At 43.0% G+C, this 26993-nt stretch overlaps 2 long non-coding RNA genes across 3 annotated transcripts in view, besides 1 other annotated feature; one reads left to right on the top strand and one right to left on the bottom strand.

Annotated features, from left to right (window-relative positions):
- Positions 1-1265: 1265 nt before the first annotated feature.
- On the bottom strand, positions 1266-25317 carry LINC00681 (long intergenic non-protein coding RNA 681). Its single transcript, NR_102423.2, has 2 exons — positions 25140-25317; positions 1266-1594 (listed from the first exon to the last, which is right to left on the bottom strand). It is a non-coding gene; the product is annotated as a long intergenic non-protein coding RNA 681 (long non-coding RNA).
- LINC03019 (long intergenic non-protein coding RNA 3019) overlaps positions 8079-26993 on the top strand; it is a 45630-nt gene continuing 26715 nt past the window's right edge. For both annotated transcript variants that reach the window (NR_015383.2, NR_152742.1), the window contains exon 1: positions 8079-8177. This is a non-coding gene — a long non-coding RNA (long intergenic non-protein coding RNA 3019). The remainder of the gene's footprint in view (positions 8178-26993) is intronic.
- Positions 25033-25550: an enhancer, noted in NCBI's record as "NANOG hESC enhancer chr8:12651516-12652033 (GRCh37/hg19 assembly coordinates)". NCBI's record gives its function as "activates a minimal SCP1, AML or CMV promoter by ChIP-STARR-seq in naive H9 embryonic stem cells {active_cell/tissue: H9 hESC(naive)}" and the evidence as "EXISTENCE:reporter gene assay evidence [ECO:0000049][PMID:30033119]".

Genomic DNA, 26993 nt, shown 5'->3' with positions numbered 1-26993 from the left:
TGGGTATGGTAGCACATGCCTGTAGTCCCAGTTGCTTGGGAGGCTGAAGTGGGAGAGTCACCTGAGCCTGGGAGGTCGAGGCTGCAGTGAGGCTAGACTGAGCCACTGCACTCCAGCCTGGGCAAGCAGAGTGAAACTCTGTCTCAAAAAAAAAAAAGTAAATAAAAATAAAATATCTTAGGTAGAATCATAAATTAAGCAGCAATAATAAAATGTTCATTAATCAAACAGATGTTAGTCAAATGTAGTAAAATAGGAAACAATCAGTTTTGAGTATTTATTATTGTTTAAAAATTATTTTATTTAATGGTAAGTTTACATAACTTAATTTTCAGTTATGGCTATTTTTAACAATTAGACTGCAAAAACTAGGCTCTCATGAGGCACTGCAAGCCTGCATAGGCACACGACTATTTATGACCCAGATATTACACGTCTAGGTATATATCCACAGAAATAGGTACATGTGCTCTCAAAAGACGTGCACAACAATTTTTATTGCAGCATTTTCCATTATGGTCAAATAGTAGAAAGACTCTAGAGGCCCATTAGTGGTAGAATGGAAAAATAAATTGTTACATTTTCATAGCACAGAATATGAGTCAGCAATAAAATTGAACAAATGACTGCTTCAGCACACTCAAGGAACAGAATATTGAGCCAGGTACCAAAGAGTATGTACTGTCCGATTCCATTTACGGAAGTTTGGAAAAGCGGCAAATTAATCTACAGTGATAGAAGTCAGAAAATGAGCTTGTTATGTTCTGGAGTGGGGTAGGGGAGGGGAGCGACTGCAAGGTGCCTTATAGGAGTGCTGGCAAAATCCTATTTCCTGTTCTAGTTGTGGTTTCATGAGTGAGTGTCTGCATAAAATTTCATGGAGCTGTACGCTTAATGTTGGCACGTGTCTATGTTATGCTTCATAAGAAAGTTTACATTTTAAAAAATCACTTCGGGAGTTATCGTTCTTTGTTCTCACTTCCCATCCCGCCCCCCACCCCCAACTAGAGAATGTAATGTGATATCCGGTCCTGCAAAAAAATACACTGATTTTAAGAAAATTTTTGGGAAAAGTGAAGATGAGAGGCTGCTTATGGTAGAATCCCTGGATGAAAGGGAAAACGTGGCCTGGCCCTTATGTGGAAACCTCTTTCCCAGAGGGTGAAAAATGCTTCGTTATAATGACCTACTCTCTAAGAGAAATGCCTAAGTAAGATCACATTAAATTAAAGTTTAGGGAAGATAACAGAAACCACCAAGAAAAGTCAGGGGATGCAGTTTTTATTGATGTTCTGGGAAGGCCAGAGAGCATGGTAAAACGGTGTGGGATTATCGTACCATAAGGGAGAGGAGGCTGCTTCAACAAATGTGCTCAAACGCTGTCGTCTTCTTCTGTAGTACACTCTGATTTTTCAGGGTCGGTGATTCTGCCCTTCGAGGCTTCGTCTGATTTTAATGTACTGTATTATGAAAGCATTCTTCCTTGTCTGAGGTTTTCTTGAATACGTAAACGTATTCTCCAGTGTTTTGGCTTTGTTACTCATTGTGCTGAGAACAAAGTCACACTCCAGTCATTAAAATGATACAGGACATTCTGAAATGGTAAAGAAATCAATCAGCCGACTTCATTTTAAATAGTGGAAGATTGCACAGGAAATTCCAGAAGGTCAGAGTTAAAAGGCATTTAAGTCAAGTGATTAGTTGAAGTACAAATAGAACACAGTATTTGGAAGCCTGCCTTGTTTTTCCAGTGTTCATTAAAGGGGAATCATATCATCAGTATTCATCCTCAACTCCACTCTTCTCAATATTTTAACTATCAAGAATCCCTATTTAAAATCTCAATCTCCCTTTAACCCCATGCTTTATAAGATTTTGCATATCAAAAAATTGCATGTTATAAGTAACTTATTTTTATTTATTTGGATTGATACATGATTGCCAAAGAGAACATTTACCCAACATGACATAACCAGTATTACTATTGATAAACAATGTAGTAAATTCTATCCTCAGGAAAAGGATGAACATTTGAGTTACCCTGCACTAAGTAAATGAAAATATGATATGGGGAACTTCTGCAAAACTGAACTAGCCTGCAAATTCCCATTACTATCACCAGTTCTTCTAAAGATGAAGTCACTGGTTTATAAACCATGGCCCTACTATTCCCTTATTATCATGTTAAAGGCACATACAACTGAAGCTGAGTAATTTTAGATTAATTAATATGTAGTTGGTCTTTTTTTTTAGAAAAAGTCTTCTGCTGGCATTTTTCAGTCTTTTTCTCCAAGTTGAAACTCTATTAAAGAATGATTATTGAAGCAATATGGACATTTTCCCATTACCGGATGCTTCAGATTCAATTTGAGAATTGGCTGCACTGACAAGGACTTTCCTCATCATCTAACATCACTTAGTAGAGAGTGCAAGGGCAGCAATATAAACAAAATTATGTCTTTGTCTAGTAGAGAGAAGAAGGAGGTAGAGGTCAAAATCATTGTCTAAAGTAAGGTGTGAGATCATATGCCAAATTTCAATTACCCACATTAGCCATGTTTCTCTTTGAAGACAATAACACTTCTATCATCATTGAAAGGCTACAGAGCACTTTTCTATATCTTTGTTACAACCCTTACAGGGAAGTCAAGGAGTGTATTGTTATCCTTGTTTATATATATAGAAATGTAGCCTAGAGATTTGCTAAGTGCCCACTAAGGCCTTCGGACTCCTAACTCAGAGCTCTGTCCATCATGACATTATGTTGCCCTACAGAAAATTAAGGAGTCTTTGGTGTTACTATGGATTGAATTGTGCCCCCTCCAAAAAGTATGTTGAATTCCTAACCCCTGTAAGAGGAAAATGCCATGTGAGGAAAGAGGCAGAGACTCAAGTGGTGCAGTTGCAAGCCAAGAAATGCCAAGAATCAATGGCCACCACCAGAAGGTAGGAGGAGGCAAGGACTGCTGACACCTTGGCTTTGAACTTCCAGTCTCCAGCACTGTGAAAAAATAAATTTCTGCCAAAATCAGTCACATGGCCTTCCTTAGCTGCTGGGGAACTTGAGAAAGGTAGGGTACATGCAGCCATGCAGTTTATGATACTTTTTTGTAGAAACCCTAGAAGATGAATACAGGTGTAAATGCTTAAATTTCAGTTAAAGCCAAGAAGCATGGTGTCAATTATTTTCCTGTAATGAAAATGTGGCTCACATAAATGAGCCTGGAGATTTCTCCAAGCACTGACATAAGCACAGAAATGGGTCCTTTCTGCAGAACTACGTCTCCATCGTGGTTGTAGCTTTCTGTATCCCCCCATCAAAGATCTTCCTCACAGGAGATGAAACCTCAGTGTGACTCCGACTCCCTTGAACTCACACCCTTTCCTCCACAGGTGATCTAACATTTTGTACATGTCACTCTTAGCTTTTGTTGGAGACCTGAGAGATGCATCAGTGTCAATGCAGAAATGACAATATTGTTGAAATCAATGCTTACTGATTAGCAAACTCCAGACAGGGAGCAATTATAAACAATAAAATCAGGAAGAAAAATTACCTTCTTCCACTAATGCTACAAAAATAAAACACTTAACTTCCCCAAAGAGATAGTCAACAAATATTTGCTACTGAGACCAGGAGAGTGCTTTCAAATCATGCTTCACAAAAATATAACCCACCAACTACTTAAAAAGGGGGTTTGGTGGTCCAATACGTTTAGGAAATACAGCCTTCTCTTGTGCTGGGATATTCACTATGCACATTCCCACATTGCTTCCTCTGAGAAATATTGTAGTTAAAAACATAGACAAAAACATCTTAGCTAATATTATACTTTTCTGTTACTCTTTTCTCTTATAACAATTATTAATATCTAGGAATGTACTTTGGGAAACAATGGGCTGTGCTATTCCTAAATTTCACCAAGTAGATGATCTGATGCAGGAGAAACTGTGAACTATTTACTGTGCTACATGTAAGGTGGGCTGACCAGAATGGCGCTGCCCCACTCAAGAGGCACACGTGGAAAGACTCACTGGCTTATCATGGATGAGGTGTGAGGCTTATGCAGTTGAGGAACCTTTTAAAGAAAAGAATATAAGATGACCATGTGACCCCAATGTCGGGGTTCCTCCTCAGGCTTTGGAGTCATCCTGGCAAGTGAGGGTTTTGTTTTTTTTGTTTGTTTTTTGTTTTTTTTTAAGGCAGAGTTTCGCTCTTTTTGCCCAGGATGGAGTGCAATGGCGTGGTCTTGTCTCACTGCAACCTCCGCCTCCCAGGTTCAAGCAATTCTCCTGCCTCAGCCTCCCGAGTAGCTAGGATTACAGGCACACACCAACATGCCCAACCCAATTTTTGTATTTTTGTAGAGGCGGGGTTTCACCATGTTGGCCAGGCTGATCTTGAACTCCTGACCTCCGGTGATCCACCTGCCTCGGCCTCCCAAAGTGCTGGGATTACAGGCGTGAGCCACCACGCCTGACGCAAGTGAGGGTTTCTAAAGCTTCTGCTCCATTAGCTTTGTGGGAAATCCACCTTGGCTTAAAATATGACTGGGTTCATGAAATAAAATTAAAACTCAAATTAACGGTGGTATAAACAATATAGAAATGTATTGCTCTTTTATCCCAGAGTCCAGAGATAGGGTTTCCAGGACTGATATTGTCACTGCATTGCATGAGGTTTCTTCTGGGACGTTGCCTTTGACACCAAGTCCCTGGTACGAACACCAGGGTTGAGGAAGGGCTGGAAGAATGGGCGTGTTCCTAACATGCTCTGTGAAATGCACTTTGAATTTCTTACATCCCATTGGCCAGAATTAGTCACATGGCCTTCCTTAGCTGCTGGGGACCTTGAGAAAGGTAGGGTACATTAGCTAAATATCAAGGGTTTGTAGAAGAGGAAAATGAGTATTAAGGCAGCTAGCGTTTTCTGCTCCCTCTCTCTCCCCTCACTCCTCACTCTCTCGACTTTTAAATGTATGAACTCAGAGCTTTATTATCTAGCATTAATATCTTTGCATTGAGGAATGGATGCTCCTAAAATCATCAGAATGGGCTTATACTGTATGTGCTTTTAGAAAATAAAAGGCTTTTGAGAAGAAAGTAAAATAGAAAAAAGAAAATCATGGACTGCAGGGATTCCCAGATTCTTCGTAAGCGAACAGTATTCTTCATTTCCCTGTGTGGTCACGGAAGACCTGATTGAGCGTGAGGCCAGGGAGATACCAAGTGAGAGGAGACAGGGAGTGGGTGCCGCCAACTGCTGGCCCTCGCCACCCACCCCTTGGAATCAGCAGAACTTGAGGGCTGAAGGGAGGGGAACTGACTCCATTTTCCTTAAAGCACCTTAAGCCTTTTATTTCGTTACCCCCAGGAGGAAGCAGGAACGTAGACATTTTTTTGGAAGAAGGTTTTTAAAAGAAAATCTGTACTTGGATTGTTAAAAAGACAGAAACGAAGGAGAGAATGGTCTGAGAAATTTGAGTAGGTTGATTTCTGACTATCTGAGCTATATATTCCTATCAACAGCCTGAGCTCTCAGCTCAAGAGCCTGTCAACACTTCAGCAGCAGCAGAAGATTCCCGGGAAGCATCTCTGGGTGTTTGGCAGGCTCCCCCGGGGCCAACTGCCTGGCCCTTCAGACTGATGGGCTTGGAACTGCTCTTTAAGGAGTGCACTCCTGGAACAAAGGGGCCTTGTTTGTCTCCTCTGTGTTCTGGAATAATCGCTGCCTTTAAAGATGTTGTAGAGTGAATGTGATGCAAACTTTCTGTACTCACATAAATTTTTTTTAATTTTATTTTTTTAAACTGAGCTTAAGGCATGTGGTTGAAACAAATACACACTTACAAAAGGGGTCTGTCTGCTCCACGGGGGTGTTAGATGCCATTCCTAACCCTCCTGGGGCACAAACTTGCACCAGTAAAACAGAAGGCATGAGATATGGCCTATAAGGAACTGTTGTTACCTTTTGTTATGAATGATACTTCAACAACCTCTTACTGGTTTGTTGAGTCTATTCAACTACCTTGATTAGATGTGATCTACAATAGAAAAACCAGATTAAGTCCAAAGAAAATAGTTCTTAACCAGGTGGAGGAAAAAATTTTGGAGAGGTCTGAACTTCAAAGGCTAAGCAAAAGTTAGGATGAATGATTAACAGTTTATAATACTTCACTAAAGTGAAGAATTAATTTTAAAAATACATGTGATGTATACATAAATATAAAGTTAGGTTATCTGGTATTTTGACTAAATACATGTAGTGTTGTACAATACTAATTAATTTATATGGTTCTCTTTTTTAGGTAAGTAGTAATTAATAATTTAGCATTAGGGTTGGTGCAAAACTTATTGCAGTTTTTGCCATATATGAGCTGGTGAAGCGGCATCATTGGTCTGTAATACCCAACGTTTGTTGCCTTGCGCCAAGGGAATCAAGGACGCAGACACACAAACAGTGAGGTTAAGAGTGGAGGTTTAATTGGCGAAAGAAAAGGAAGAGTTCTCTCTCCTGCAGAGAGAGAGAGGGGCACCCCAGCAGGTGTTCCGGTTCACAGCCAAGTGCATAAGATTTTATAGATGAGCTTGAGGAGGCGGTGTCTGATTTATATAGGGCATGAGAGATTGGTGAGACCAGGTGTGCCATTTGCATAGCTGGCCACCCCACCCTAATCTTTAATTATGCAGTTGGTTCTCTACCTGGCCAGCGCCATGTTGCCTGTTTCTTTACTGTACACATGGTGACAAAGAAAAGCGAAGATGGAGCCTCCATGTTGAACCTACCTGGCCCCCAGGTAGGCTTCCCCTATTGCAATGCACAGCCGCCGTCATTCACCTGTGCAAGCTTCCAGCTTGGTTATCTATGTCTGCAGCTTGATTTTACAGGCTGCTTTTTGTTAGAAAAGAAATTATCTGGGGGCTGCTTTTTGTTAAAAGGGAAGCCTTGCCAAGGACTCCCTTACTCTCACTCTCTGCCTAAATAATTTCTTTTTAGCTCCTGTATCACTGATAGAGAGTCAGGTCTGTTTTGGCAGATTAAGTCCATTCCGTTGATCAGACATGTATTGACTTTGTATATTGTGCAAGACAGCTGGGTGGGGATGGAAGAGATAAAAAAATGGGCAGCTATTGTTGCAGTCTCAGCAAGTGAATAATCAATGGGAAGGGATAACTTAGGTCTACAAATAGATATAATTTACCATATTTTGTCATCAATGCTAAAATATAGCTACAGGCAGTAATAGTAGGCTCCCTTTTTGGTGACCGATGGATACTTGCCATTATACTATTTAATTTATATTATGTCCATTAACATGACATGACAAGTCCCTATATGATATTTTAGGAAACTGAGTAACAACAACAAAAAAATAAGTAATTTGCTCAAGGTCAGAGCTAAGAAGCCAAGGAGCCAGGTTTCAAATGCCGATTGCCAGATCCTTGCTCTGGGGCACACTTTGGACACGCAAATAAAGGCTTAACTGTTTCTGGCACAGAAACAGAGTGTCTCATAGAAGTGGCATCTGAGCTGGGTCTTGAGGGGTACGTATGTTAATGATGGAGTGAGGAAAGGGAATCAAGTCATCAAAGACACGGAGATGGAAAAGTACAGAGATTGTTTAAGGACCTGAAAAGAAGTCTGACTTGGTAGCAGCAGAGTGAGAGTAGAGGGAGATGAAACGGAGAGGCTGAAGCCAGCTGGGAGTCAGGTGGCCGCGCAATGATGTCAAGTCATGGGTTTCTAGAATTGTGGGAAGGCCCAGGGCAAATCACAGGGCAAATCACAGCTCTGTCGACTGGTTTCCTCTGTAAAATAGAAATAGAGTAAGATCATAAACTCACGTTCCAACTCTGGATTTATGCTTTCCTGTCCAGGAACATTTAGTCTCCCCTTCCCACTTCCCACCTCGGTCCATGAGGGAAGCAAAATGTGTCCATTCTTCTGCCCACGCCCAGTCCTGCACTAACTCCTCCCCAAAGCAGAGTAAGTGGTTTCCTGGTCGGTGAGAACATGAGAGTGTCACTGCACTGGGTTTTACCCATGGTCGGAATTGCTGAAATTCCTGAGTGGTTAAGGACAAACCCACCCGAGTCACTCTACTGCTGTTTCCTGTGTCCACATGGTAAACTCTCAGCTTCTGGCCAAAGACCTTGGTGGACCCTGCTGACTTGCTGTAAGATCTTCTTACATGTTTTTTTTTTGTTTGTTTGTTTGTTTTGAGGCAGATTCTCACTGTCTTGTCCAGGCCAGTCTGCAGTGGCACAATCTTGACACAATCACTGCAACCTCCACCTTCTGGGGTCAAGCAATTCTCATGCCTCAGTCTCCTGAGTAGCTGGGATTACAGGCATGCACCACCACGCCCGGCTAATTTTTGTATTTTTAGTAGAGACAGTGTTTCACTGTATTGGCCAGGCTAGTCTAAAACTCCTGATCTCAAGTGATCTGCCTACCTCAGCCTCCCAAAGTACTGGGGTTACAGGCATGAGCCACCATGCCCGGCCTTCTTATATCGTTTTTGATGTGTTTTGGAGCATAAGTGGGCTTCCTGATAATCTTAGAGTCAGGCACAGGGACTTAGGCTTCCTTACTTCAACTTTATTATCCAAATTCCTCTTGCTAGAGAGCGTTGCATTGGGATGATTGAGTCCTTGCCTAGCTCTTAATGAAGTGATATTTTGTTTTCCCATTGGCAGTTGTTCTTTGTGTGTATAGATTTCTTGGTTAGAAACTTCTAGGTTATGGAAGAGGAGAAAGGGAAGGAACAGGAGCGGGTAGGGGAGAAAGAGGAGGAGGTAGGAGCAGGAAGAGCAAAGGGAGAAGAAGGAAGGGGAGGGAAGACAGGATACTCATTCCCCAGCCCAGGAAAGGCAGATGCTTGAGAGCCTGATGTCTGTGGGTGGTTGTGGGGAAGACTGGTAAAACTTCCTGGCTTCATATTTTTTTAGTTTCATTTTCAAAAGAAGGAAAAATTGCCCAAATTCGATTTAATTCTACAATTATGGGGCACTCACTACATGCAAGAAACTGTTCTAGAAGTTGGGAGTAGGTTGGACATAGATAGGAAAGAGATAAAAAAGGTTCCCTCTATTTAGTTTCTTAAGGAACTAAAGTACAAAATAGTTTGTCATTGAAGTTAAGCAGAAGAATTCACGTCTTCTAATTTACTGCAAACTCTACAAAATATCAAATGACAAACTGACTCATGAGAGCTCTTAGAAGTGAGAACTGGGTGTCTTCCAGGGGGTTATATAAGACAATAGCATTTATAAAAATGAGCTTCTTTTGTAGTTTTTCTTGATTCTGGAAACTTCAATTACCCTTCTCACTTCTGCTAACTTTTAAAAATCATGCAGAGATGTTATCCAACAAATGCCTGTTTAAGCCAAGGGAGGTCACTCCTAAAGCAACCATCCAAAAGACCTGCTCTTTTCAAATCTCTTCACAGATAACAGAAAGCAAATGTTCAAAATAATTATAAACAAAGGAACAAGTAAGAGATTTCCAGAAGCGAACACTTTTTAAACTAGATCTGAGAAAACACTATTTCAATAGTTAAGATTTATCTCCATCTGGGAACATTAATCCTTAAAACAGCCTGCCTCTGATAAAGCTTTTCTTTCCCGCTGAAAATGAGAATATGCAATGTTCTTTCTCACTGTTCAATAGCGTTTTTGCCTCCTTCTGGGTATACTATGCCGTAGGATATAAACGTCATTCTTTTTATTACAGAAAATATTTCTAAACTTCTACAGGCATATCCCTCCCCCCTCCCCCCACCCCACAACAGTCCCCAGAGTGTGATGTTCCCCTTCCTGTGCCCATGTGTTCTCATAGTTCAATTCTCATCTATGAGTGAGAACATCTGGTGTTTGGTTTTTTGTCCTTGCGATAGTTTACTGAGAACGATTTCCAATTTCATCCATGTCCCTATAAAGGACATGAACTCACCATTGTTTATGGCTGCATAGTATTCCATGGTGTATATGTGCCACATTTTCTTAATCCAGTCTATCATTGTTGGACATTTGGCTTGGTTCCAAGTCTTTGCTATTGTGAATAGTGCCGCAATAAACATACGTGAGCATGTGTCTTTATAGCAGCATGATTTATAGTCCTTTGGGTATATACCCAGTAATGGGATGGCTGGGTCAAATGGTATTTCTAGTTCTAGATCCCTGAGGAATCGCCACACTGAGTTCCACAATGGTTGAACTAGTTTACAGTCCCACCAACAGTGTAAAAGTGTTCCTATTTCTCCACATCCTCTCCAGCACCTGTTGTTTCCTTACTTTTTAATGATCGCCATTCTAACTGGTGTGAGATGGTATCTCATTGTGGTTTTGATTTGCATTTCTCTGATGGCCAGTGATGGTGAGCATTTTTTCATGTGTCTTTTGGCTGCATAAATGTCTTCTTTTGAGAAGTGTCTGTTCATATCCTTTGCCCACTTTTTGGTGGGGTTGTTTGTTTTTTCTTGTAAATTTGTTTGAGTTCATTGTAGATTCTGGATATTAGCCCTTTGTCAGATGAGTAGGTTGCAAAAATTTTCTCCCATTGTGTAGGTTGCCTGTTCACTCTGATGGTAGTTTCTTTTGCTGTGCAGAAGCTCTTTAGTTTAATTAGGTCCCATTTGTCAATTTTGGCTTTTGTTGCCATTGCTTTTGGTGTTTTAGACATGAAGCCCTTGCCCATGCCTATGTCCTGAATGGTAATGCCTAGGTTTTCTTCTAGGGTTTTTATGGTTTTAGGTCTAACGTTTAAGTCTTTAATCCATCTTGAATTAATTTTTGTATAAGGTGTAAGGAAGGGATCCAGTTTCAGCTTTCTACTTATGGCTAGCTAGTTTTCCCAGCACCATTTATTAAATAGGGAATCCTTTCCCCATTGCTTGTTTTTCTCAGGTTTGTCAGAGATCAGATAGTTGTAGACATGCGGTGTTATTTCTGAGGGCTCTGTTCTGTTCCATTGATCTATATCTCTGTTTTGGTACCAGTACCATGCTGTTTTGGTTACTGTAGCCTTGTAGTGTAGTTTGAAGTCAGGTAGCGTGATGCCTCCAGCTTTGTTCTTTTGGCTTAGGATTGACTTGGCCATGCGGGCTCTTTTTCGGTTCCATATGAACTTTAAAGTAGTTTTTTCCAATTCTGTGAAGAAAGTCATTGGTAGCTTGATGGGGATGGCATTGAATCTATAAATTACCTTGGGCAGTATGGCCATTTTCACGATATTGATTCTTCCTAGCCATGAGCATGGAATGTTCTTCCATTTGTTCGTATCCTCTTTTATTTCATTGAGCAGTGGTTTGCAGTTCTCCTTGAAGAGGTCCTTCACGTCCCTTGTAAGTTGGATTCCTAAGTATTTTATTCTCTTTGAAGCAATTGTGAATGGGAGTTCACTCATGATTTGGTTCTCTGTTTGTCTGTTATTGGTGTATAAGAATGCTTGTGATTTTTGTACATTGATTTTGTATCCTGAGACTTTGCTGAAGTTGCTTATCAGCTTAAGGAGATTTTGGGCTGAGACAATGGGGTTTTCTAGATATACAATCATGTCGTCTGCAAACAGGGACAATTTGACTTCCTCTTTTCCTAATTGAATACCCTTTATTTCCTTCTCCTGCCTAATTGCCCTGGCCAGAACTTCCAACACTATGTTGAATAGGAGTGGTGAGAGAGGGCATCCCTGTCTTGTGCCAGTTTTCAAAGGGAATGCTTCCAGTTTTTGCCCATTCAGTATGATATTGGCTGTGGGTTTGTCATAGCATTAGGAGATATACCTAATGCTAAATAACGAGTTAATGGGTGCAGCACACCAGCATGGCACATGTATACATATGTAACTAACCTGCACATTGTGCACATGTACCCTAAAACTTAAAGTATAATAATAATAATAATAATAATAAAAAATAAACTTCTATAGGCATATTCTTAATATATTTTTTCTGGTTTTAATGTTTTCTATGGTAATTATGAGATTAATTTGTTGTTTTCCAAGTAGCTCTGGTGTTCTGTTGACTCTAGCCCAAATTAATTGTTTCAAGAAGAAACTAAAACCAAAGAATTTTGATAGGATAACTGAGAGAGAGTCACACATATGCGAGACTATGGAAAATAAAGTTTGGGGAAGGCAAAGGCAGATTTGTAGATTTCACTGCTGAGTTTGGTTTTTTGTTTTTGTTTTGTTTTGTTTTCAGACAGAGTCTCACTCCTGTCACCCAGGCTGGAGTGCAGTGGCACAATCACGGCTCACTGCAGCCTCAGCCTCCTGGGCTCAGGCAATCCTCCCACCTCAGCTTCCCGAGTAGCTGGGTCCACAGGAGTGCACCACCATGCCCGGCTAATGTTTTTTTTGTTTGTTTGTTTGTTTGTTTGTTTGTTTGTTTGAGACAGAGTCTCGTCTCGCTCTGTCGCCCAGGCTGGAGTGCAGTGGCACGATCTCGGCTCACTGCAAGCTCCGCCTCCCGGGTGCATGCCATTCTCCTGCCTCAGCCTCCCGAGTAGCTGGGACTACAGGCGTCCGCCACCACGCCCAGCTAATTTTTTGTATTTTTAGTAGAGGTGGGTTTTTGCCATGTTACCTGGGGTGGTCTCAAACTCCTGGGCTCAAGCAATCCTCCCACCTTGGCCTACCAAATTCCTGGGATTACAGGCATGAGCCACCACAGCTGGCATACTGCAAAGTTTTTGACAGTAGACTTCAAGATACACCCGTTCACACGTTTTTTCCCCATTTTTTTACTCCTCTCAGAAGCCAAATCTCCTAGCAAATAAAGAAAACAAGCTAAACACTGAAGTGCAACTGCCACGACTTTTGCACACTGTGTGGGGAAACACAGTAAATACAGAAAGGGAGTAAATGGATTCTAGTGGGAGAGCATCGAGACATGTGAGTTTTTCCAAAGCATGCCTTTACCGGTTTGCATGGTGGAGATAATCAGTGACATTGTACCCTGTGCTGCAGGAAAAGTACGGCCTTTTGTACTTACAATCCCCCCCATCAGAGGAGCAAATACAGAGGGACTCTTGCAGTTTTCCTGGGTGCAAATGATGGCACTAAAGACATAGTAGGGTCTGGTTCTTACAGGGGTGAAAGAAAACACTAAAGTGGAAAAGAGGGCCTGGCATGGTGGCTCACGCTTGCTCTCCCAGCAGTTTGGGAAGCTGAGACGGACCACTTGAGGCCAGGTGTTTGACACCAGCCTGGGCAACATAGTGAGACCCCATCTCTGCAAAAAAATTTCTCAAAAAACTAGCTGGGAGTGCACACAGTGGCTCATGCCTGTAATCCCAGCACTTTGAGAGGCCGAGGTGGGCAGATTACTTGAGGCCAGGAGTTTGAGGCCACGCTGGGCGACATGTCGAAACTCCGTCTCTACTAAAAATAAAAAAATTAGCCAGGCGTGGTGGCACACACCTGTAGTCCCAGCTACTCAGGAGGCTGAGGCAGGAGAATTGCTTGAACGTGGGAAGTGGAGGTTGCAGTGAGCTGAGAGAGCACCACTGCACTCCAGCCTCAGTGACATACTGAGACACCATCTCAAAAAAAAAAAAAAAAAAAAGCTGGGCATGGTGGTATATGACTGTAGTCCTAGTTGTAGGAGGATTGCTTGAGCCCAGGAGTTTGGGATTACAGTGAGCTATGATTGCATCACTGTACTTTAGCCTGGGTGACAGAGCGAGACTCTGTCTCTAAAAAATAAATAAATAAAAATGAATAGAGTGAAAATAATAAAAAATATTAAATGGAAAAGGGGAACATCTTCCACTGCTATCAGAGAACACCTGTGGTTCAGAGAGTGTGTCTGTGCCATTTGGGGTGATGAAAATCTCGGATTAACTCTGATTATGCCTTTAGGTAGAGAAACAGAAGCTTGAGAGAATTAGGTTACTGTCCTTGCTACCTTCCAAGGTACCATGGCCCAAGTCCATATCTATCCATGGCAAGTAAGGGCTCTGGCATCCTGATCTTTTTCAGCAGCCCCCAGGGAGAGATATGATTCATGATGATTCCCAAAGGGCCACTCTTTCTACTAAGATTGCACATCAAGTGGTCTCACCCTCTTTAAAGGCTGAACTGAGCTTTTTCTTGGTCCGAGTCCTCATGCCTACCAGCTGGCACCTCATTGTTCCTAAGGGAACTCTAAGGACTCTGAGGGAGCTGCTCTCTTGCTCAGCGATGAGTCGGTCATGCATTGAGGTCACTCGCGGCTGCATCCTCAGCCCATCCTTGGCTTCCTTCTTGACGCCCTAGCTCTTCAGTGGCCTGGCTCCTATACTATTCTCCTAGAGTGTTTCTTGTTCTACACTGCAGCCTCCTTCGTGGCTGGATTGTTCTGTTTTTGACCTCTTTCCTTGCAGTGACTCCTATCCTGTCAATGCCCAACTGCCCACCCATAAGCGCTCTTTATGAATGTCTGGCCCGCTTTTAGTTTGCCAGATACCATGAACTTTTACTTTGTATATTGTCTGGTTTTCTTCTGAGGGCTAACTCTTCGTTTCTAAGCGCTCCCTTTAAGCTGATATCTCTGGGTACCATTTGTTCCTAAAATAGCTGGCCCTTGACCCTACTTGCTTGTTCAGAAGCATAGCCTTCCGTAATGCTGTGGGTCTATTTGGATACTTAGTCTTTTCTTTTTTCACTTTGGCTCGTTTTACAGCCTCTAAAGTCTTGTTCAAGAAGACTAAATCCAATAACTGCAAAGAGCACTTAAAACTGATTAATTGGGGTTCTGTCTACAACTGTGTTATCAAGTGTATCATACTCTTCTGCTTTCTCTCAAATTAGCATTGCTTCTCATGAATTTATTCAAATACATAAACATTTGTTTATGTTTGATTTTCATAAGTCTTACATTTTCAAGCAGTTGGTATTTTTTTTCATAATGACACCGGCAGATAAAGCTTGAGACCTTCCTTGAACTAATAAGTTGTTAGCTTACAACTGAGCTCTATGTAGGATTCTTATTCTTTAATTTGCTAATGGCCTATCATAAGAACATAGGATTTGAACTGAGTCATACCGGGATTAATCCATATCAGTGTTCAGCTGTGAATAGTTACCTCAAATAACAGGCAGTGAGAAGATGCAACTGTTCTTCCTAATATACTTTAAAAATAATTATATCTCAGAATGCTAGTAGCAATTGATGCCTCTATTAGTCATAAGTTAGTCCTTACCTTTTATTATTCTATCTGTGTTTCCTAAGATAACTACCTCTGCTGTAGACAACAGTCACTCTCTTCTGTTGTATCACATAAAGAGAAATAGGTACAGAGAATGATGGAGAAAAAAATTGTATTCTTTATGCTAATAAAATATAATAAATGTATGGCTTGATCTACAAAAGCAGACATAGATAAAAAATTTTAAGTATTTTTATATGTTTGGTAGCTTTGGTGTGATGTATTGGAAAAAATATAGACTTCAAAGTCAGACAGGTCTAGGTTTAAATTCCAGCTCTGTCCTGTACTATCTTCATGACCTCTCTGAACTTCAACTTCATTGTGTAAAAAAAATTAATATTTATCTTGAAGGTCTGTTGTTAGAATTAAAAGTAATAAGGCCGGGCGCAGTGACTCATACCTGTAATCCCAGCACTTTGGGAGGCCAAAGTGGGTGGATTACTTAAGCCCTGAGCCCAGGAGTTCAAGACCAGCCTGGACAACAAAGGGAGACCCTTGTCACTAAAAAAAAAAAAAAAAAAAAAAAAAAAAAAAAATTGAGTTTCGTTTGGTTTTGGCAACATATAGGCAAAACTGTCATAGGGAACATGGTCCCGACCTGTACTCTCTGACAGTGGGCACTAGCCACCTGGGGTTATTTATATTTACACATTTACATTAAAAACTCACTTCCTCACTTGTACTAGCCACAGTTTATATGCTCAATAGCCACATGTGGCCAGTGGTTACCATATTGGATAGAGTGGATGGAAGTCATTTCCATCATTGCAGATCATTCTGCTGGGCAGTGCAGGTCTAGACCTGGAGATTCTTTATAGGCTTTATTAATAATGTCATAAAGGTCATAAAATGTCTAGGATCAGGCAGCCCTTCTGGGTGCTGGGAATAAGACATGCCTATTTCTGGGTCCCTTTCCCCACCAAGTCAATTGTCTTCCCAGTCCCTGCCCCTTTACCTCATTTTACAAATCACCAAGGCAAATTTTCCATTCTTAAGCCATCTGCCAGTAACCTGTCTTGTTTCAAGGTATCTGTTCACTAAGCCCAGTTGAGGTAGCCTTTGTGAGCATAATATAAAACCTTTTATGGGAATAACCGAGTTTCAAATTCAAAGTAATGACTGAGATGCCTCTCCTTATAGGATTTCAGGGGGAAAACTGGGGGTGAGGATTGCTACACACTGATTGTGTCCTTCTAAAATTCATATGTTGAAACCTAAACTCCAAGGTGATAGTATTAAGAGGTAGACCCTTTGGGGGTGATTCAGTCATGAGGGCTCTGCCCTCATGAATGGGGTTAGTGCCCTTATAAAAGAAGCCTGAGGGAGCTTTTCTGCCCCCTCTGCCATGTGAGGACACACAGAAGGCACCAACCAAGTGGAATGGGCCCTCACTGCACAGTGAATATACTGGTGCCTTGACCTTGGACTTCCCAGTCTCCAGACCCATGAGCAGTAAAATTCTGTTGTTTATAAATGACCCAGTCTAAGGTGTTCTGTGGGGTTTTTTGTTTTGTTTTGTTTTTGTTTTTGTTTGTTTTGTTTTGTTTTGTTTTTGAGATGGAGTCTCCCTCTGTCACCCAGGCTGGAGTGCAATGGCGCGATCTCAGCTCACTGCAACTGGCTAGGTTAAAACAAAATATTTCTTAGAAGGATCATATTTTTGGAGATAGACAAACATGGCAGTTATATTAAAGTAGTATATTGTTTGGGGAGTTTTTGTTTATTTATTCAGCATGTACAATGCTAGTTCAGTCCATATACTAGTAGTGAATGGTTAAACAATAAAACCTTGAGGTTCTGCTGCTTGGCAAAGCATTTAATGATGTTTGACTTGAGTGTCAGTCAAACATCAAGTGTTAATTGACTTACAGAAGTAAAGGGTCATAATCTCCTCAGATCTAATCAGGAAATTACTCTTTCTGACTGAAGTTGCTAAGTTTAAATGCTTCTACTGCCATAATAGGGCAAACATTTGAGTCAGAGAGAGAAATCCAAGGTCACCTAATAGAAGAAATTTTCCCATTGTGTGGCATGCATTTCAGAGGGATCCTTTGAGGAAATCAACCCCTATAAATACCCCTGGCAAAGACTGTATCTAAAACCAGCACCTTGAACATTTATAACACAAGAGACTGTTTTCTGCACTTAATACATAAGAGTGACAATCTCGGTATAAAACAGCCTGAGACCAGAATTGCACAGAAGACACATAAAAAAGATCAATAGAACTTGGATATGAGAGTTCTGATCAGACTAGAACAGAAACAATTCTATTTGTCACACCGAAGGGAGAAAGTTAACAAGTCATCATTCACTGGAAAGGAAGGATTATATATTGGTGATGTTGCCAGTGATACTGCATTGGGATGGACCCTTCAACCAAGGAGGTCAAGAGAGCCGGAGCTCTAGATCAGCAAACTCAGTTCTTGTGATAGTGAGCAAAGAATTGCAAACTAACACCAAAATGCAAGCTCAAAGCAAAGTTTATTGAAGCATAGTAATGCGCTCTCAGAGGGACAGTGGGCTGATCTCTGTGAAGTGAAATCAGCCCCTTTTCACAGAGCTCAGCGTGCTTTTACGGGTTTTATGGGGAGGAGTCGAGGCTTGGGCTGTGTTTTAGTGACAGGATGATATTATTTAATTGGCAGTTTAAGGTTATATCTCTGACGTTAAACTGCACATAATTTTTTTTACCCATAATTCATTTAGGAAAGCTCACTCAAGGGGGCAAACACACATGTAAATTTTATTGTAATGACTGTGTAGTGAGGACGAAGTTACCTGGGGTTACAGCCTAGATGGACTGGGCATTCATGACTGTAGGGGATTTTTATCTGTGCCCAGTTCTTCTTCCTCCAAGATGTGCTGGCCACAGACTTTACCAGAAACTCCATCCATTAAGGTAGAGTTAGGGTGGTCGTGGGGGCTGAACATAGGTGGGTCAGGGCCTGGGTTAGTGACAGCCCTTCTGCTATCCTCTCTCACCCCTTCCCAGCTGCACCTAACAATATCTAACCACCTAACAATATCAGAATTCTTACTGTATATTAAAGATGGCCGAACGAAATTGTTAATTGAATTTTATGATTAAATGTATATAGCTCATGATCTACAGTGTGAATTAGTCTTTTTCAATTAATTATTTGTTTCTTTAAATTCTAGTTAACAGTTATCTCATATTCAGAGATAAATAGATCTCCTATTCATCATTTCTAGTTATAGATAGATATTTGGATTGGCTAGACTGAATTGATACTTGGATTTGATATTGTGTGCCCTAAATTGTAATGGAAATGGGCACTGTACCAAATTGTACCAAATATATCTTTTTTTTTTTTTTTTTTTTTTTTTGAGACAGAGTCTTGCTCTGTCATGCAGGCTGGAGTGCAGGGGCATGATTTTGGCTCACTGCAAACTTTGCCTCCCGGGTTCACGCCATTCTCCTGCCTCAGACTTCCAAGTAGGTGGGACTACAGGCACCCAACACCTCGCCCGGCTAATTTTTTGTATTTTTAGTAGAGACGGGGTTTTACCGTATTAGCCAGGATGGTCTCGATCTCCTGACCTCATGATCCGCCCGCCTCAGCCTCCCAAAGTGCTAGAATTACAGGCGTGAGCCGCCGCGCCCGGCCCAAATATATCTTAATAGGGCTTGTTGCTGTTTCACCAGCAAATACATTGAATAAGCTGTTGGGGAGAATAGAGATGTGATACACTTCCAGAAGTTAGCAGTCTAGAGAAGGGGACTTATATAGAAAGACTTGCCTAAAATAAAAGTATTCCAGTTTTCTATAAGTACAGTAGCTGCTATTCTAAAGCAAATCTATTTTGTGGAAAGCTAGTTTGTTAAGCAGCTAATTCACAAAAAGCCATTTCAGCAAAAATCAATTCACTGTGATCCACTGTTACATTACTGAGGGTTTTTCTTTTTGTTTTAGTTTCTCCTCAGCATCACAGAGTCATCTTATCATGAATTTCTCAACTCGGCTTAGTTGGATGTGAATTTCAAGTGGTTCAGTTGGCTTTTAAATTTCAGACACTAGAAAAAACTTCTCTTAAGGTACAATGGTGATGGGAGTAGCAGCCCATCTAGAGAGGCCACTGCCATGACACTGACTGTAGTGGGGAGGCACTGCCAGGGCAGGGCTGCACACTTCAGGGAGCCAGCAGGAGCCTTCTGGGCACAGCTGCAGCTGCCCAAGCTCTGGCTGTAAACCTGGGCATCTCTGCCTGGGAATGCCCCCCAAGCCCTGTAGTCTCAGGGGTGTCTGCTCACGCTGCCTGGCCTCTCCCTGCTCCTGGCACCCACTCTGATTTTGAAGCAAGGTTGGGGCCGGGCTTGGTTGCTGTTGCAGCCTGACCAGGTGTGTGCACACCAAGGGCAGCACTGACATGCCAGCCCCCTGCCACCTCGGCCCCCTCTGGACTTTGGGCACCAACGAGCACAGGAGGGAGGCTAAGGGGGGCTGAGGGCAGCTTGGGGCTGGCCTGCAGGTGCCCCTTGACATGAACAGCCTGGGCATCATGAATGGTAGCAGGAGGCAGAGAGGCTTCCGGGCAGAAGGAGGTGGGTCCCCAGTGAAGCCCCACCTTCAAGCTGGGGAAGACCTGAAGCCTGGGGGCCAGGCTGCTGGTCCCAGGGACCAGAGTGGGAACTTGTGGTGCTTTTTCCGGGCCCACCTGTGGCTGCCCATAGACCAATCAGCACGCACTTCCTCCCCTCTAAAGACCATAAAAACCCCAGACTCAGCCAGACTTGGGAAGATGATGGGACAACCAGCCGCAGAGAGGAGCTACCCAGTGTTGGTCTCCTTGAGTTGTTCTGTCACTCAATAAAGCTCTTCATCACCTTTCTCACCCTCCACTTGTTCACGTACCTCATTCTTCCTGGATGCAGGACGAGACCTTGGAACCCTGCAAATGGCAAGGCTAAAAGAGCTGTAACACAAACAGGGCTAAAACATGCCCCTTGCTCATTGCAGGTGACAAAGAGAGAAGAGAGAAGGAGAGAAGAGCTGTGGCCCTTCAGGGAGTCCAGACCTAAGAGCTCCCCACACCAGGGCCGTGACACCCCTTTTGGGGCTCTGCAGTTCCTGGTGTCTCCAAGCTTCTGGGTGCCACCATGTTCCCCAGTGCCAGCTGTGGAAGCTGCTTGTGGTACACCTGGTCCAGCCACAGCCTCAGAGGGAGCCAGTGCCCATGTTAGCAACTGGAGCTGCCTGCCCTGCTGCAGCTGGTGTGCCTGGCTATGTGCAGTGGCCAGACCCCATGCTTGCTCACACACCCCTTGCCACTCCACACCTGGCTCACCCTTGGCAGGCCTGGGGGATCCAGGCTGGTACCATGAGCTGAGTGCAGCCTGTCAGGCCAAGCGGTGGAATGAGCCCAGATGGCCCCAAGCAAAACTCAGGCAAAGGCACCACTGGCCACAGAGGTTTCCAGCTGGCAAAGTGACACCCCAAGGATCCTGTAACAGTGGGACAGGATGAGCCCAACTTCACTGCAACTTACTCTCTTCTTTATTTTTGAGAGTTTATGTCCTATCCCAGTTATTTCCCATGCATTTGCTTCCACTTCTCTAAGCAAAACACTAAAAGATCTGGTTTAAGATATCTGTCTATCAGTATTCTTTGGGTTGATTGGTTAGCCAATTATTCAATGAACTGGCTTTTAGCAAATGGGTGATCCAGTGAGATGGCCATTAGTTAAATGATGACTTAGGGAATCGAATACAGTCAGTTTCACTTCTTTCTCATTTTCAAAGTGATGTATGGGCCATCACCAAGAATAATACAGATCACCCATGACTTGTTCATACAAGCACATTGATTTCCCCATACCCTGTTTCCTAAGTGTCAATCTCACACCAACTTCATGGTTTTTGCAATATCCTCATAGAACCTATACTATTATGTATTTAATATTTTTCTTGAATCTGACACACCCGTAATTTTTCATTCATTATTTTAAAGGGAACTTTCATACTGTTGTACTGAAAACTGCCAGACTATGCCAATCCAAAGTATGCCAGTGTGACATGAGGATTATTTTGAGCTGAAGGCACTTGAAAAAATAGTAGGTATGACAAGGACCCTCTGATCTTCCCTCTTTCCTCCTAAAGGAAGAAAATAAATCCCCATATGGAAGATGTCCTTCATATACCGCAAAGAAAATAACATTCTTATCACTAGAAACGGGGAGTCAGAATTGAGACCAATCTGTAGAAACCTTGTTAAACTAATCCTTATCTTCCTAGTTACTTTTCCACCATAACTGACTCAGCCCAAGCCCCCTCCATTTGTCACACTTTCATAATTTACTCCTCTTTGTCCAATTCTATATATGTGCTCTACCCCAACTGCCTGTTTGGGTCTTATGAAGGCTTCTGTGTCATGTAAAACTTATTTTAAATAAATGTGTATGCATTTCTCCAGTTAATCTGTCTTTGGTCAATTTAATCCTCAAGCCCAGCCAAAAACCCTGAAGGCAGAAGTACAATTTTGCCTCTCCTTCAGTACTGAGCAAATTATCTGTGCATTCATAAGTTTGACATTCCCGTTATGTATTTTTAAGTGCACATAAAACATATTAACTATATGGATAGAAAGTGTTCATCTTTGAACTACTTAAACTCAACTCCCATGTGAATATACACTGGGTAAACAGCTGGAATAAAGAAATAAAGAATATGATCACCTAACACCTTGCATAGCAGCTGTCTGCCCCACAGTAGTATCTCTCTGACCAATAGTTCTTGACCACAGCTGCACCCTGCCTCTTCCCCAGACCAAGTGAATAAGGATCCCTGGGAGAGTGGGACCCAGATATAAGATTTATAAAAGCTTCCAGTTGATTTTAATTGCAGCCAGAGTTGAGAATCACTGTGCTAAACCATATTGTGTCCGCAATTGGTGGGTTCTTGGTCTCGCTGACTTCAAGAATGAAGCCGCGGACCCTCGTGGTGAGTGTTACAGCTCTTAAGGTGGCATGTCTAGAGTTTGTTCCTTCTGATGTTCGGATGTGTTCTGAGTCTTTTCCTTCTGGTGGGCTCGTGGTCTCGCTGGCTCAGGAGTGAAGCTGCAGACCTTGGCGGTGAGTGTTACAGCTCTTAAGGCGGCGCGTCTGGAGTTGTTCCTTCCTCCCAGTGGTCTCATGGTCTCGCTGGCTTCAGGAGTGAAGCTGCAGACCTTCGTGGTGAGTGTTACAGCTCATAAAAGCAGTGTGGATCCAAAGAGAGCAGTAGCAAGATTTATTGCAAAGAGCGAAAGAACAAAGCTTCCACAGCGTGGAAGGGGACCGGAGGGGTTGCCACTGCTGGCTTGGGCAGCCTGCTTTTATTCTGTTATCTGGCCCCACCCACATCCTGCAGATGACTAGAGTCCAGTGGTTTGTTTTGACAGGGTGCTGGTTGGTGCGTTTACAATCCCTGAGCTTGACACAAAGGTTCTGCACCTCCCCACTAGATTAGCTAGATACAGAGTGTCCACACAAAGGTTCTCCAAGTCCCCACCAGAGTAGCTAGATACAGAGTGTGGATTGGTGCATTCACAAACCCTGAGCTAGAGACAGGGTGCTGATTGGTGTATTTACAATCCCTGAGCTAGACCTAAAGGTTCTCCACGTCCCCACCAGACTCAGGAGCCCAGCTGTCTTCACCCAGTGGATCCTGCACCGGGGCTGCAGGTGGAGCTGCCTGCCAGTCCTGCACCGTGTGCCTGCGCTCCTCAGCCCTTGGGTGGTCGATGGGACTGGGCGCCGTGGAGCAGGGGGCGGCGCCCTTCCGGGAGGCTGGGGCCGCACAGGAGCCCACGGAGGAGGTGGGAGGCACAGGCATGGCGGGCTGCAGGTCCCAAGCCCTGCCCCGCGGGAAGGCAGCTAAGGCTGGCACTGCTCGGGGACCCAGTACACCCTCCGCAGCCGCTGGCCCAGGTGCTAGGCCCCTCATTGCCCGGGGCCGGCAGGGCCGGCCAGCTGCTGCGAGTGCGGGTCCTACCAAGCCCACGCCCACCCGGAACTCCAGCTGGCCCGCAAGCGCCGCGCAAAGCCCGGGTTCCCGCTCGCGCCTCTCCCTCCACACCTCCCTGCAAGCTGAGGGAGCCCGCTCCGGCCTTGGCTAGCCCAGAAAGGGGCTCCCACAGTGCAGCGGTGGGCCCAGGCAGAGGAGGGTCCGAGAGCGAGCGAGGGCTGTGAGGACTGCCAGCATGCTATCACCTCTCAATATCATTCTGGTAAGTTCCATAAAGGCGTGAACCCAGACAGGTTGTTTAATGCTCTATCTCCTGCCTTTAGTACAGTAGCTGCCCGAGTCAGTGTTGAGCTAATTTATATTCTAAGAAGACTGGCAAAAAGGAGCCAATATCTCCATCTGGAGAGCAAAATAATCACTTATAATTCTGCATTAAGGTGGAGATAAACTGCTAAGACAAAGAATAAGAGGGCTGTCCTGGAAGGCTGTGCTTAGAATGAAGGGGTTAGGAGTTTCCTTCAATTGTATCTTTTGATTTTTTTTATGTTTCCTCTTTGCTACTCTTCACGTTTGTGGTCCAAACAGGATCTTTGAGACCTAACCTCTGTTTCGAATTTTCTCTTTGTCCTGAAGCATAGTGGCTTAACTTTTAGCTGCCTCAATTCCCTCATTAAAAAAAAGAAAAATCAAATCACTGAGCCAGTTAATAGATGTGTTAGCCTTCTATGCTGGAGTTATGCTCTGCAAAAGGCCTGGTGAATAATAGCTTGCTTTAAAAGTGTATCCAGTGCATGTATATGTTTTTAGGAAAGATTCAGAAAATAGCGTTCACGATAGAGAAACTCTCCCTCCCTTTCCCCTACACTACCCAGGCTAAGCATACTAGGAGGAACACAATGTGAGCTTTCATTGTGTTGGCAAGGATGTTTATAAATGTAAATGTGTGTGTGTTTACCCAAGTAATTTAAAAATAACGGAAGTGAACTAAGTAAGTGCATGCCATGCTTACCAAGAATATTAGGAAGCAAAGGTCCTTAAATATCTGAATTAGCTCTGACACTGATTCAGGAAAAAACTGGCTCACAACTCTTGCGTAAGACTTATGTAAGAGCTTAGATGTGGTGCCTGAACTATTCCAGTTTTCTACAGCATGGGGAAAAAAGCAAAGTATGTTACATTGTTGATACTTGCTCAGTTCTTTCCATTTCAACAGCTTCGTTGCTTAGAGAAGTAAAGCATCTCTGCTTCTTTTTTTTTAAAAAAAGTTTAAGTTTTCTAGTGTTTGCTACACATAGGTAGATGTAAACTAAAAGAACAAAACTATGGTATAGGCAGTAGGTAATTTAGAAATTAGGTAGAGATTTAAATTTGTTCATACCGAGACAGTAACGAGTTGTCAGTTTGTGATAAAACTTTAAACTCCAAGGCGACATTCCACACATAGGTGTTACAGATTTTCCCACATCTTATAAAATAGCTTCTCAATATTTAGAGCACAATTCATCATCTTCATCATTATATGCTGAAAGTGATTTTTGTCAAATCTAATTTCCAGATATTTTGACCAAAATAGTAATGACGATCATACATGACTCAGATAGCCTGGTCTCTACCATAAGCTTTTGCTTGGTTCTCATTTAAAATACACACACACACACACACACACACACACACACACACACACATTCCTCGTGGGACTATTTGATATAGAGAAAAGAAGAATTTTACAGTCAAACCATTCAATATAAGTACAGATACCAGTACCATCACTTACTTGCTGTAAGACCCAAGAAAATTAATTAATCTGAGCTTATTTTCTCTATTGTAAGATGGGAATAATAACATGTACTTCTTAGGGTGGTTGTGAAGATTTAGATGTAAATAATCAGCGTGTGTTAAGTGCCTACTATGTAACAGGCATGGTCTCAGCGCTTTAAAAAATTGTTGAATCCTTATATCAAGAAGCAGGTATTATTGTTACCTGGGATCTTGAGTTGGGATGGACCCTTCAGCCAAGGAGATCAACAGAGCTGGAGCTCTAGATCAGCAGTCTCGGTTCTTGTGATAGTGAGCAAAGAAATGCAAACTAACACCAAAATGCAAGCTTGAAACAAAGCTTGTTGAAGCACAGTTATACACTCTCAGAGGGAGGGCGGGCTGATCTCTGTGAAGTGAAATTGGCTCTTCTTTACAGAGCTCAGTGCTTTCATGGGGTTTGTTGGGAGGAGTTGAGCTTAGGCTGTGTTTGAGTGACAAGTTGATGTTATTTGATTGGCATTTATAGTTATATCATTGAAATTAAACTGTGCGTGTTTTTACCCATAATTCGTAATTCATTAAGGAAAGCCCACTCGGGGGGGGGCAAAACCACATGTAAAGTTTATTATAATGATTGTATAATGAAGACAATGGGGAAAAGGCCTCAAAGGCATTTCAGTGACCTTCATGGTAGCGCCTTCCATTACAGGCCTGAAGGCCCAGGAAGAAAAAAATGGTTTCATGTGCCAGGCCCAGAGCCTCACGCTGTGCAGCCTTGGAACACTGCTACCTGCATTCCACCTACTCCAGCTCCAGCCATGGCTACAAGGGGCCCAGGTACAGCTTGGACAGCTGTTTCAGAGGCTGCAAGCTGGAAGCCTTAGTGGCTTCCATGTGGTGTTAAGCCTGTAGGTGCACAGAATGCAGGAGATGAGGCATAGGAGCCTCTGCCTAGATTTTGGAAGATGTATGGAAAAGCCTGGATGTTCAGGCAGAAGCCTGCTATGGGGGTGGAGCCTTCAGCCTAGAGAACCTCTACTAGGGCAGTGCAGATGGAAAATGTGGGACTGGAGCCCCCATACAGAGTCCCCATTGGGGCACTGAATAGTGGAGCTGTGAGAAGAGGGCCACCGTCCTCTAGACCCCAGAATGGTAGACCCCCAGCAGCTTGCACCCTCAGCCTGAAAAAGGCGCAGGGACTCAACACCAGTCTGTGAGAGCAGCTGCTGGGGATGAACTCAGGAAAGCCACAGGGGTGAAGCTGCCCAAGGTTTTGGGAGCCCACCCCTTGTACCAGTGTGCCCCAGATGTGGGACATGGAATCAAAGGAGATTATTTTGGAACTTTAAGATTTAATGAATGCTCTGCTGGGTTTCCGACTTGCCTGGGGCTTATAGCCCCTTTCTTTTGGCCCATTTCTCCCTTTTGGAATGAGAATGTTCACCCAATGCCAACACCCCCATTGTGTCTTGGAAGTAACTAACTTGTTTTTGATTTTACAGGCTCATAGGCAGAAGGGATGTTCTTTGTTTCAGATGAGACTTTGAAGGGGATTTTTGAGGGAATGCTGGCATGAGTTAAGACTTTAGGCAACTGTTTGAAAGGCATGATTGTATTTTGAAATGTGAGAAGGACATGAGATTTGGGAGGGGCCAGAGGCAGAATAATATGGTTTGAATCTGTGTTCCCACCCAAATCTCATGTTGAAATGTAATCCCCAATGTTGGAGTTGGGCCTGGTGGGAGGTGACTGGATCATGGGGTTGGGTCCTTCCTGAATGGATTAGCACCATCCCCTCGGTGCTCTTCTCATGATAGTGAGTTATTGTGAGATCTGGTTGTTTAAAAGTGTGTAGCCCTTCCCCTATCTCTCTCTCTTCCTCCTGCTCTGGCTATGTGAAGTGCCTGCTTCTTCTTCACCTTCATCATGATTGTAACTTTCCTGAGGTCACTCCAGAAGCTGACACCACCATGCTTTCTATACAGCTTGCAGAACCATGAGCCAATTAAACCTCCCTTCTTTATAAATTACCCAGTCTCAGGTATTTCTTTATAGCAGTGTGAGAACAGACTAATAT

This window comes from Homo sapiens, chromosome 8 (assembly GCF_000001405.40).
Source record: "Homo sapiens chromosome 8, GRCh38.p14 Primary Assembly".
In the NCBI taxonomy this organism is placed as follows: Eukaryota; Metazoa; Chordata; class Mammalia; order Primates; family Hominidae; genus Homo; species Homo sapiens.
This window is presented reverse-complemented; position numbering and strand designations above follow the sequence as displayed.